This window comes from Homo sapiens, chromosome 20, assembly GCF_000001405.40.
Source record: "Homo sapiens chromosome 20, GRCh38.p14 Primary Assembly".
In the NCBI taxonomy this organism is placed as follows: Eukaryota; Metazoa; Chordata; class Mammalia; order Primates; family Hominidae; genus Homo; species Homo sapiens.
In genome coordinates, this window is record NC_000020.11 from 32,462,652 (window position 1) to 32,475,323 (window position 12,672).

The following is a 12,672-nucleotide window of genomic DNA, read 5'->3' on the forward strand; positions in this document are numbered from 1 at the left end:
ATCCCAGCACTTTGGGAGGTAGAGGCAGGCAGATCATGAGGTCAAGAGATCGAGATCATCCTGGCCAACATGGTGAAACCCCATCACTACTAAACATACAAAAATTAGCTGGGCGTGGTGGTGCACGCCTGTAGTCCCAGCTACTCAGGAGGCTGAGGCAGGAGAATCGCTTGAACCCGGGAGGTGGAGGTTGCAGTGAGACAAGATCGCGCCATTGGACTTCAGCCTGGCGACAAAGCGAGACTCTGTCTTAAAAAAAAAAAAAAAAAAAACTGATTTAAAAGAGACATCGACAGGCGCACAAACCCTTGCTGTGATGGAATGCAGTGGGGCCCGGGCAGGGATGGTGCTGGTGTAGGGTCCTGCAGTCTGGGCGACCTTGGGCACTGCCACCTCCTGGGCCTCCTCTTATCTACAGTCCTGGGAGTTGCCGCTGACGCCCTCCTGGGCTCTGGCACTTTATGACTCTGTGAAGAAACCCAGCTGGCTCCATGGGCACCGAAGCCCCAGCACACAGGCCTCACGGGGTGCAGGCCTCCAGCTGGGAGGCTCAGTGGGAAGCTGGGAGTTCTGGATGGACCCTCCACACCTGGAGCTGGAAGTGGAACCTAAGGGTGCCCAGGTGACCTCTTGTCCCCACCTGGTCCCCATCTTGCTGCTTCCATGAGGCCCCTCCAGGAGGGTCACCCTTGAGGCCAACCTGCTGGGGCCCAGTGTGATGAAAGCAGGGTGGGCCTGCCCCCAGCCCATGGCTGCGTGGGCAGCAGAGACATGTCCTGAGGGGCCTTGGGGAAGCAGCCCGGGATGCACCCCCTCTCAGCATTTCCACAAAACCAGGCCCTCCCCACTGTGGCAAAGGGCGACTCCTTCATCTGGGCAGGACCCGGAGCCCACCACCTGTGCCCAGAATGCCTACGGGCAGGGAAGGACTGCCGTGTCCGTCTATTTGAACATGGGGCAATGTGCTGCTATTCAAATGGAGGAATTAGTGATGAATGGGGGAAATTGTTCCTCCCTCTGTCCCGTCTCCAGAAGGAGACAAAAACCCCTTTTACCTCAGCAAACAATGCCCTTATGTGGGCGCCAGTGCCCCGCAGCCCGCACAAGCCCAGCTCTGTGCGAACCACCAATCGCCACACCGCGCTCTGGGGCCCACAGCCAGTGGCACCCTCTCCCGGTGGGCGACTCCCACCAGCTCCCAGGCTAGGCTCGGAGAACGGGAAGGCCCACCATCCCTGGGACCACAGGCCAGGTACACGGCCACTGGAGGCCAGCAGGCCCTGCGTGCAGACTGCCTTCCGTGTCCAGAGGTGTGGCTGCTGGAGGCAGTGCCGCCTCCATGAGACTCTGTCACAGCAGCAGCCAGGCGGGGGATGGGAGGGGCATCAATAATTCACACACAACAGGGCGACGGGGGAGGAGGGGGTGGGAGACTGCTGGAGCCACGGCCCACCATGGCCAGGGAGGCGTGGACAGTAGGGCTATGGGCTGTGGTCTGGGGGTGCTGACCCTGCTCTGAATTTGAGGCGTGCACCTCCCCAGGACTGGCCCCCTGCCTGCTTTGACAAAGGCCAGCGCCCAGGCTGTGTTTACACGATGCGTAGTTCCAAGGAGCACCAGGCTCAGGGCAGGCTGCCCAGCTCTTCCTCCAGAAAGGCAGGAGGGGTGCAGGGGTCAAATGGGGGACACTAGGACCCTACCATCCGGGTGATGGGGCCACACGGGGCACCTGCATTCTCCACGTGGCCCTCAGGCCCCAGCTGCCTGCACAGCTGCCCTCCTGAGCGCCCAGCTCTGTCCCTGTGGTTCACACAGCCTGGCCCGGCCCCAGCCACGGAGCAGGGAGCCCATGCCCCCCATCTGGGTGCCACACTTGCCCCCTGATTTGCAGCCCCGGGGCGCCAGTTCCTCTACCCCCACAGCATGCGCCTCCTCTGCGTGTGCCCCTCAGTGCCCGGGCAGTGGGCGTTCCTGCTGAAACTCTGGTCACTCTTTGCTTAGGCAGGTGCCAATTTAGGCCCTCACAGTCGGGAGCAGCACTGTCCGACAGAAACAGAGTGGGAGCCGCATGAGGGATTTGAGTGCCCTAGTACCCACATTTTAAAAAGTAATAAAGAAACAGGTGAAATCAATTTTAATAATCTACTTTATTTAACCCAATATATCCAAAATAGTACCATTTCAACAAATAATTGATACCGTGTTATCAGAGCTGAGATATTTCACCTTCTTCTTTCCTACGGAGCCGCTGAGACGCAGCGTGTATTGCACACCTGTCTGCACTAGCCTTTTCCAAGGCTCAGTAGCCGTCCTTGGCTAATGAATTAGACGTCACACACCTAGATCTTCCCCTAAAACTGAAATCATTTCTCTCTGCAGAGACCCTGGGGTTCCTGGCCCGTAGAGAGGTGTCCAAGCTGCAGATGATGTTCAGGCCTTGGGACAGGTGGCTCAAGCGGTGGGGCCCTGGAGACAGACACCACCTTCAGTGGAGGGGGAGGTGGACACCAATTATGCGTCAGGTCCCGAGTGTCAGGCGGCGGGTAACTCATCATGCCTGATTTGCACAACCACCCTCTGCAGCAGACATCAGGGAGGAACCAGAGGCTCCAGGGGGAAGTCACCGACCCATCACCCGGGATGAGTGGAGGCGCCCAGACAGGCCCCAAAGCACCACCCAGGCCGCCCAGTGCTCTCAGACATTCTGGGAGCCTCCAAGGCCAGCCTTGATTTGCCCATCTGTACTGTGGGACAATTCCCTACCCCTGCTACCAGACTGCTCCACTTCCTAGAGCCCCTCCCCCAACACCTACTGGCCACTGATGCCCCGGGGAAGCGCTCCCAGGATGAACTGCCTGTGTGTGGGTGTTCTCCCTGGCCCCGTCCTCCAGGCCAAGCACAGGCGGTGAGAAATAAACACTAATTCAGTGTGCAAAGATCGAGCCGAGACACACAGCCTGCTCCCCGTGTTCTCAGAGCAAACAGAGCCACTCCAGGCCACCATGTGTGAATGATTCACGGGGCAGGGCCCTGGCCCCAAAGCCCCTGCAGGCCCTCCTCCAGCCCTCCCGGAAGCCAGTCTGGGTTCGGTGCATTGCAGTCCTTAGGTCGGAGTGATGACGCCAACGCGGCCTGGTCACTTCCTGGTTCCTGGGAAAGTCACCCTTGAACAGGCTCCCGGTGGAGGTGCCTCAGGAGGGCCTGTCCCTGACACAGGAGCCTGCAGGATGGAGCTCTGTATGTGTCCTGGGCTGAGGGGTGGTGGCGAAGGGCAAGGGCACTGATCCCCACGTGGCCCCACTGGGCCAGGCTCACCTTCACCTCCATTCTTTTTTTTTTTTTTTTTTTGAGATGGAGTCACTCTGTAGCCCAGTGGTGTGATCTTGGCTCACTGCAACCTCCACCTCCTGGGTTCAAGCGATTCTCCTGCCTTAGCTTCCTGAGTAGCTGGGATTACAGGTGCCCATCACCACGCCCAGCTAATTTTTGTATTTTTAGTAGAAGTGGGGTTTTGCCATGTTGGCCAGGCTGGTCTCAAACTCCTGACCTCAAGTGATCTGCCTGCCTTAGCCTCCCAAAGTGCTGGGATTATGGGCATGAGCCACCACGCCTGGTTCACCCACTTTCTCAGTAGGTGAACCTCTCGGCTCCTCAGGCCCCAGAGCTTGTCCTCCCCAGCATCCCAGACAAGGCCAGGGCTGTGTAGGCCCTGCCCACTCCTGGATAAAGGGATCTCTCGGTGCTGTCTCCCAGCGTCTCTCACCCCTTGGCGGGCCGGGGCCCAGCACAGCCCAGCATTGTCTGTGCCGCCTGCGGCCCAGCTGATGATGGACACTTTCCTGTGACCCGGGACTGCCAGTGTGGCCCACAGCCAATCCCTGGAAGGCTTGGGCCCCAGCTCTCTGCTCCTGGGGGAGGGGAGGCCAGGAGGCCGCCGCCTGCTCATCTGTTGTGGGTATTTGGAGCCTTGAGGAGGAACAAACAGCTCTTGCTCCTGGGGTGGGGGTGGGTGGGACCTGCACCCAGAGAATGGGGCCCAGCTCTGGTTTCTGGCCTCAGCTGTGAGAATTAGGGTCAGGGCAATGGACACAGCCATAATGAGCAGGTGTTGGGGAGAAGGCTTGGCTTAAAAGCCCACTGCAAGAGAAGCCTTTCACAGGCCAGCCCAGGGAGGCTGGTGCAGGGGCCACACCTCCTGCCATGCAATACTGACCAGAGCAGACGTCTGGCCATGAGTGTTGGGTCCACGGGGAGGCAGCAGCAGGCCGGAGTTCTGTGCCTCCTGGTGGGAGAGGGCTGCTGTGACCCAGGGATGGGCCCAGGGGAGGGTGGGCATCACCTGAGGAGGACACTAGAAAGAGCCGCGGCACAGGGGTAATGCGGGTAATGGTCTCTGAGCCCGGGTGGCCTGGTCGTTACTCCCACCAGCTCCTTCCCCATCAGCCTTATGGCTTCCTGCCTGATCCCTCACTTGAACGGCTTCACGCTGTGCTGGGGACACCCCATGGCACCCTGAGTACCAGAAGCCAGAAGCACACTTCTGCCTGGCACCTTCTCCTTGGATGGCAGCACTGACTCCTCGCTGCCTGCTTAGCTGCCCATCAGTGTGGGCACCTGGATGGGTCTGGCATTTGCCAGATTGAGAAGCAGGGTCTTGGGAACTTGGGGTCCCTGGACAGGGCCTGGCACATGTGGGTGGGGAGGGAGGGACAGGGACTCAGGACAAGCTGTGAGTGCCTGGGTCTGGTTGACACCAAGGACCCCCTAGCCCGGCTCCCTTTACGAAGAAGCACAACCCGGGCGGTGGTTGGGAGCTGAGAGCAGGGGTGGGGATGCCGCTGAGGGTGGCTGTGAGGTAAGCTGCAGTCAGGGTCCCACAGGCCTCCATGGCAGAGGGGACCAAGGGAGACCAGGCTGGCTGAGGAGGCAAGACTGGACCAACGGGGTGGTGCGCAGGGCTCAGAGAATCTGGGGGAGGTGAGGAAGACCGCCCACATCCAGTCCCAGCCTGGCCCCCAATGGGCCTGTGCTGTCCACATCTGGTCCTCAACCGCCTGGCAAGGTGGGCCAAGATGATCACCCCCAGCCCAGCAAGGGGTTGGCACCCGCCCAAGGCTGCCTGGCAAGGAGGGAACTGAGCAAGATCTGAGCTCTGTGTGCCCCCACACTTCCCTGCAGACCTCTTGGAGGCCAGGGAGGAGGCACACAGGGGAGGGGGCCGGGCCAAGGAGAAGAGGCCAACAGCACTGCTGCTGTAAATACCGAGCCCTGGGCACTCAGGAAACACACCTGCTCCCCAGAGACCCGCCCTGCTGCCCAGTTTGCATTTCTGGGTGGTGGAGGGCCCCACCCAAGGGCAGCAGGGGCCAGGAGGTAGGAAGCCTTGGTCTTCTCACTAAGAGCTCCTGGGGGCATGCCAGGATGAGGGGCCACAGCCCCCAGGCCATGTCACAGAGAGAAGCTGTGGCCCAGAGTTGGGGGATCGGCTAGCTCAAGACCATACTTCGGGGAAGGGCCGGCCAGATCCATGGCACAGCACCCAGGACCTGCCTACAGGATGCCACATATTGGGCCCGACCACTCCATCCTCCCAGAACCCTTCCATGCCAGACCCTCCCCAGATGGCCTGGCTGTGGCCTCTCTGCCCTTCTCTCCTGGTTGGAGCTTGGGGTCATAGGGAGCTTTTGGAAACAGGTGACCCAAGAAACCCTCAATCCTGGCATCGGGCACCTCCTCCCTTCCCAGCCCCCTGCTGCCACGCCTCTGCCCAGCTTCCCAGGCCACCTCCTCCCAGGCCCTTTCTCTGATTCCCCATCTCTGCCAAGAGTGACTCAGTGGCCGTTGGTTGAGCACCTATTCAGTGCTAGGGCCTGGGGATAAAGCCCAGGACAGGAGACTCAGGCCACATGGGGCCAGCCCTGAGGGGCACCCTGCAGCGCCACTTCCAGCAATGAAAAACAGGGACTTGGCCAAGCACGGTGGCTCACGCCTGTAATCCCTGCATTTTGGGAGGCCGAGGCGGGCAGATCATGAGGTCAGGAGTTTCAGACCAGCCTGACCAACATGGTGAAACACTGTCTCTACTAAAAATACAAAAATTAGCCAGGCGTGGTGGTGCACGCCTGTAATCCCAGCTACTCGGGAGGCTGAGGCAGGACAATTGCTTGAACCTGGAAGGCGGAGGTTGCAGTGAGCCGAGATTACACCATTTTGCACTCCAGCCTGGGCAACAGAGCGGGACTCCATCTCAAAAAAAAAAAAAAAAAAAAGAAAGAAAGAAAGAAAGAAAAACAGGGACTTGAGTGTCCTTCCACAGGAGTGGCCAAAACGCTGGCTCTGGAGAGACCCAGTCCCTGTGGTCTGGGCAAGTTACTTCCCCTCGGAGACGATGTTTCCTGCCCTGTGGAACAGCGACATGTATAGCTCTGGGCTCACAGGGTCAGGCTGGGCACACAGCAGGGTCAGGCTGGGCACACAGCGGGCTCAGGAATGGGACCCCAGTCACTGGACTGACTAGACAAGCTTTGAACTGTGGCTGGCCCACATCAGTGTCAGGGAGGCCAATGACTATGTGAGAAAAAAGGCGCCAATACTGCCTCATTGAAAAGAAAATGAGGCTCTGGTTACTTAGATACATAGAAAAGTCTGAGAAAAATAGGGCCCCAGACATCATTATTTTTCATTTTCTTTTTTCCTCCTTTATTTTTCTATTTTTTTTTCTTTTTTTTCTTTTTTTTAGATGGAGTTTTGCTCTTGTTACTCAGGCTGGAGTGCAAATGGTGTGGTCTCGGCTTACTGTAACCTCCGCCTCCCGGGTTCAAGCAATTCTCCTGCCTCAGCCTCCGGAGTAGCTGGGATTACAGGCATGTGCCACCACACCCAGCTAATTTTGTATTTTTAGTAGAGACAGGGTTTTTCTATGTTGGTCAGGCTGGTCTCAAACTCCTGACCTCAGGTGATCCACCCGCCTCAGCCTCCCAAAATGCTGGGCTTACAGGCGTGAGCCACCGCACCTGGCCTTCTCCTTTATTTTTCTACAATAATTGTAATACTTCTGAAATAAGGGGAGAAATAAGGGACATTTCTACAAAGATGTGGCTCCTGCCCTCAGCAAGCTGACAGCCTGCAGGGGTCCCACACTGGTGCCTGTTTGGCTTCAACCAAACCCCAGACTCCTCCAGGGAGGTGGGGACAGGGCTCATCACCCCTGTGTGTCACAAGGCCAACGCTGGTGTGACTAAAGTGGCCAAGAACCTGGAAGAGCCAAAGGGCCCTCAGTGCCTTTGTCCAGACTCAGGCCTGCACAGTGCGGGAGCCCGTGTGTCCCGAGGCCCAGGTTGGAGGAGCGGCCTCATCTGAGAGGCGCACACACCAGGCCCTGACCTGCCCCAGCCAGGGCTCCACACGACTCTTGCTCAGCAATCCCCCGACTGCCCACCCTGCAGAAGGCGGATGCAGGCCCAGCGAGCAGACCCCTGCTCTCCCCTGGCGCTGGCTTCCTGTCTGCCCAGGAGGTGAGTAATGTCCGCTCCCTGCCCCCACGCATCCCTTCTGGAGGCCAGACGGGCCTCACATTTTCCGCTCAGGAAGGGGCAGAGTGAGAGGCCTGCTGAAGCACATCCAGGGGAAACGGAAGGAGTGGCCCCGCCTGCCGGGTCAGGAACCTGGGCCAGCCCCGGCCTGCAGGAGGCGCACTGGCTCACCTGCCTCCGTGCATGCCTTCGTTCATTTTCATCCACTCATTCATTCAACAAACAGCACCCCAGCACCTGCGTGGTGCCAGGCCCTGTGCTGGGTGCTGGAGGCCTGGCTCTCAGGGTGCTTATGGTACTTGGGGAGGAGACTGCATCAAACAGATCATCCCACAGGTGGCGGCGTAAGTACAGACGGATGTGCTGTTCAGCCCCAAGGCAACGCCAGACCACAGTGCCTCTGGACAAAGTCTCTCAGGCATCCTCCCTCCACACCCTATGATGTGCACAGAGCCCTGTTCAGACCCAAAAGAAAGCCCACGCCTCAGCCGGGGCTTGGCCGAGGGTCTTTAGGGGACCTGGCCCGTGCCTGGGCAGGAAACTGTGGCAGGAGCTGGCCCGCATGGCCCTGGGCCCCAAGGAGGGAGCGCCCCAAGTGTGTGGAGAGGGCCTTCTTTGGTTCCCTAGCTGCCCTGCCCATCTTCTGGGGACCCTCACACATGGCCCCTGCCCCTGCCAAAGGGGAGAGAGGAGAAGCACTGGCACCTCCCCAACTCTGGCTGAGTTGCCCCAAGTCTCTCCCTGATCCTAAGTTTCCTCCCCATGAGATGAGGGCACTGTGAGTGGTGCTCCCTGCCAAGCACCAGTGGCTGTGATCGCAGGGACCTGGGAGCATCCCAGGACTTCAGAGTGTGGGGAACTGGTGTAAAGAGGTCTGGGAGACCAAGACTCGCAGCCAGTGGCAGGGTTGGGGGCAGAAGCCTAACTGTGTTTCAGGACAAGCAGACACTCACCCCGGTAGAACCTCAGAGGCAAGCTCCCGGGGAGTGAAAGCTGTGGCACCCGCACAACTCACTCTTGGGCTCAGTTTCAGGACAAGCAGACACTCACCCCGGTAGAGGCTCAGAGGCATGCTCCCGGGGAGTGAGAGTGGACACTCACCCCGGTAGAGGCTCAGAGGCATGCTCCTGGGGAGTGAGAGCAGACACTCATCCCGGTAGAGGCTCAGAGGCAAGCTCCCGGGGAGTGAGAGCAGACACTCACCCCGGTAGAAGCTCAGAGGCAAGCTCCCGGGGAGTGAGAGCTGGCACCCGCACAACTCACTCTTGGGCCCAGTGGTCTCCGCCATGGGATTTGCTCTGCCACTCAGCCTTCATCTGCCTTTGTTAAAATCTTTAAAGAAGGGCCCCAACAAATCCACAGCTGTAGATCTGTGCTAACTGCCTGGCTCCCTGAAATCACTCCTGGCTGGATCACTTGTCAGCAGGGATGGGGTGCTGATATGGTTGGGATCTGGGTCCCCTCCAAATCTCATGGTGAAATGTGTCCTCCAGGGTTGGAGGTGGGCCTGGTGGGAGGTGTCTGGGTCATGAGGGGCAGATTCCTTATGAGTGGCTGGGTGCTGTATGGAGTGAGTTCTCACTATGAGTTCATGCGAGAGCTGGTTATTTAAAAGAGCCTGGTACCTCCTCCCTCTCTCTTGCTCCCTCTCTCACCATGAGACATGCCTGCTCCCCCTTCACCTTCTGCCATGTCTGTAAGCTTCCTGAGGCCTCACCAGAAGCCAAGCAGATGCTAGTGCCATGCCTGTACAGCCTGTGGAACTGTGAACCAAATAAACCTCTTTTCTTTATAAATTACCCAGCCTCAGGTATTCCTTTATAGCAACACCAAACGGACCAACACAGGTGTGTCATCAGCACAGCCTTGGGAGTCCCCACACTCCCGGCGAAAAGAAAAGGCCCAGGTACTCAGATGGGAAGGATGTCCCCAGAAACAAACAACCCAACTTATCCCCCATCAGAGGCGGAGCTCCATCTGCTCTGCAATGGTGTGCTTGGGTAGGTCTCAGTAAATGTTTGTTCGTTTGTTCATTCGGGGATAACAGACATTCAGCAGGTACCGACAATGGGCCATGTTCGCAACCGAGTCCCAGGGGCAGGGCAGAGACCAAGACTGACCTTACAGCAGGCCTCAGACTTCCACGAAGGACGGAAGGCCAGAGCCCACACACCAAGCCCACCTGGGCATCAGTGGGGTTGGGGGGCTTCTGCAATGGAGACCCTCGGGCGGGGAGTGGAGCACACAGAGGGCTAAAGCGGGTGCCTCTGCTTGGGCTGTCCCTGCCTAGTCCTGCGTCAATAACAGGGGCCTGAGAGTGCTCTGATGGGAGCCCCTTGACTCACTCATGGGAGCTGGACCTCACATTTCTGCACCGTGAGCACCTTCAAGAGGGGCTGGTTGTATGTCTCCAGGGGGGCCAGAAGATGGCCCAGGACTCTAGGCTGGAAACCCACTGCTCTGGACAGACACCAACAGGCCCACAGGCCCAGAAGAGGCAGCAGAGGCCAGGCCAGCTGCCTGGGCCTTCCCAAGGCCTGTGCCCTGCCCAGGGTCTCAGCCAGCCAGCGGGGTGGCCCACAACTCCATGAGTGTCTCGGAGGGGACAGTGAGGCCCACGGCCCTGTGGTCAACAGCATCCTCCCTGTCCCAGCTCTGGTGTCCATCAGGAGGGGAAGGTGGTGTCTGACTACCCCAGGCTGACCCCGCACTGGGCTCTTGGGGACCTACAGACCCCCCAGCCTCCCTGCATCTCTCAGCCTCATCCTCATGGCCAGGCCAGCCAGCCTCTGGGCAGCAGGTGCTGAGGGAACCCCATGGACCCCACAGAAATGCCACTGTCAGCTACCTGATCCTGACAGCCCCCAAATCACCAGACCTCCCCAGGACGTGTCTCCAAGAGAGATCACGCTCTCAAAGGGTGGTCATGAGGAATAACAGCATGAGATCTGCTTGGGAATGAGTAGGGGGACCATGGTCCCTTCAGCCCCACTGCTCTGGGTTTCTGAACAACTGTCCCAGACCCTTCTTGTGGGGGACCACAGCCTGTGGCCCCAGCTGGGCTCTGCAGGCACCGCCCTCAGTGTTCCTTGGGCGTGGCCTCAATCGGCTCAGTTGAGGCGGGAGGTCAGCTGCTGCGCTTGTCCCAGCCCCAGAGCCCCCCAGAGCACGTGGCTGCCCCCGCCGGTCCCCACCCCCGTGGGAACGCTGGAAGGCGGCACTGGCCTGGGAGGCTGGCAGCACGAGGGGGTCGCACCGACCTCACGAGGCATCAAGCACAAAAGCCTTTTCTTTGCCGGCAGCCACGCACCCCACTCCTCCTGCAGCCACTCCCTGTGCTCCCCAGCCCCTGGCCCAGACACCTCCAGCTGCCTCCAGACTGGGTCTCCTCCCAAACAAAGCCGGATTCAGGCCTTCGGGAGGCAGGCGCGCAGGTTCTGCCATGGAGATGAACTTTGACCCAAACAGCAAGGCTCCTACCCCTTATTTACTCTTTAAGGCTGACCCGTTTCACAGAGTTCACATTACACCCCTTTTTAATCCGCACCTCCCTCCCACATTCCAGGCCTCGACCTTCAACCCCTCCTAATTGCTGGCTCCGGCTCCTACACCCCAGTTCTTGGGCCCAGCTCACTCATCCCTGCCCCCAACCATCTCCTCCACGGAAACAAAGGCGATGCTGGGGTGCTGTGCTCACAGGGCCACCTCACAACCCTGGCACACCAAGGTAGATGCCAGGGTCCCAGAGCCCAACCACTTGGGGGAGTCCACGTGGAGGCCGGGGTGGATCTTTGGGGTCTGATTCCTGACCCTAACTCTCCAACCCCTGAGAAGGAAGCCTCTATTCCAAGGGAGGCTGGAGTAGGCTGCCTGGCAGGCCCTGCGCGGAGGCGGTCAGGGCTAGGGAAGAATCCGGACAGCTCCCCAGCCAGCCGCATCGCATCCCAAGGGGCTAGGGTGAATGTGGGCAGCTGCACTGCCTGGTCACTCACCAGGTGACCTGGGCTATAGCCTCACATGTGGCTGCAGAAACACAGCTTGTTTCCCTTGCTGGGCAGCGGAACTGCTCTGGGTTAGGTACACTGTGAACCTTCCCAGGCCTGCCCCTGGTAACTCTGAAACCCACATTGCAGAAGCCCATGGCATCCCGGCAACCAGGCAGACCCCCCGCCCCGCAGGCTGCCAGTCCTATGGGCTCTCTCCCTCATCTTTGGGAGGAAGGAGCCAGGAGCTGGGGCACTGGGGCCCATGGAGATGCTGAGAACACTGGGGGCAGTGCAAGCTTGGGCCTGAGCCACCCAAAGGCCTTGGCCCAGATTCCGCCACCCTGGAGTGTGTCCACACCTCTCACCTGAGGACAACTGGGAGCAGGGGGCCGGGCACAGCCCCTCCTCAACTGCCACCAAGGGGCACTCACCGTCCTCTTGACTGTGGAGGTTCTGCGGGCTCCGCATCCTCTCGTCCTGGCTGGGGCTCAGGCTGGAGGCCAGGTGCGGGTCAGCTGACATCCATGTGGAGTCGCTCATATCAAAATCCTCGCTGCTCACAGAAGTCTCATCCTGAGCAGGGACAAAGAAGGTGGGCATTCAGCAGGGACGGGCTCTCATCAGCCTGAGGCAGCCTTGTGGGTGGACCCCAGGGCCAGTGGGCGTTTGGGAGTGCCCTGAAGGCGGCAGGAGCCCTCAAACCTTGAAGTGAGGGCTGGGTGGTGCTCCCCCTTGCCCGGTGGAAGTGGCCCCGGCTCTGGTTCCTGTCGGAAGCCAAGGCTAAGGGCCGGCACTGTCTGTAATTGAAGACAATTATGAGGTCTCGCATCCTGCAGGGGCGGATGGCAGGGCCTGGCTCTTACCCTTGTGAGCCAAGGTTGAAACAAGCGCTGTAAACAAGGGCTGCCGCTCCCTGCTCTCAGCCCAGGGACCGGGGCTCACTCTGCACAGGACCCGGCGGCAAGAAGCGGGCAGCAGCACATGCCCGCCACCAGGCACTGAGGCTGAGCTGAGTGCCCCCAGCAGGCCTGGCGCCCTGACTCCCATGAAGCATGCATGGAATTCCTTTCTCCCACTCCCCCAGCCCAGAGGACGTTTCTGTCTTCCTCCTTCCTAACCTTTGCTGTGCTTCAAAGATACGCTCTTGGGCAGCT

The 12,672-nt window shown here is 59.5% G+C and overlaps 1 protein-coding gene across 3 annotated transcripts in view, besides 3 other annotated features; it reads right to left on the bottom strand.

The window, feature by feature from the left end:
• NOL4L (nucleolar protein 4 like) overlaps positions 1-12,672 on the bottom strand; it is a 142,275-nt gene that overhangs the window by 19,593 nt on the left and 110,010 nt on the right. For all 3 annotated transcript variants that reach the window (NM_001256798.2, NM_080616.6, NM_001351680.2), the window contains one exon: positions 11,950-12,091. In NM_001256798.2, coding sequence (NP_001243727.1) covers positions 11,950-12,091 — 142 coding nt within the window. The remainder of the gene's footprint in view (positions 1-11,949; positions 12,092-12,672) is intronic.
• Positions 7,541-7,590: an enhancer, noted in NCBI's record as "active region_17717". NCBI's record gives its function as "activates an Ori minimal core promoter by ATAC-STARR-seq in GM12878 lymphoblastoid cells {active_cell/tissue: GM12878}" and the evidence as "EXISTENCE:reporter gene assay evidence [ECO:0000049][PMID:35858748]".
• Positions 7,911-7,960: a silencer, noted in NCBI's record as "silent region_12787". NCBI's record gives its function as "represses an Ori minimal core promoter by ATAC-STARR-seq in GM12878 lymphoblastoid cells {active_cell/tissue: GM12878}" and the evidence as "EXISTENCE:reporter gene assay evidence [ECO:0000049][PMID:35858748]".
• Positions 11,889-12,660: an enhancer, noted in NCBI's record as "H3K27ac-H3K4me1 hESC enhancer chr20:31062343-31063114 (GRCh37/hg19 assembly coordinates)". NCBI's record gives its function as "activates a minimal SCP1, AML or CMV promoter by ChIP-STARR-seq in naive H9 embryonic stem cells {active_cell/tissue: H9 hESC(naive)}" and the evidence as "EXISTENCE:reporter gene assay evidence [ECO:0000049][PMID:30033119]".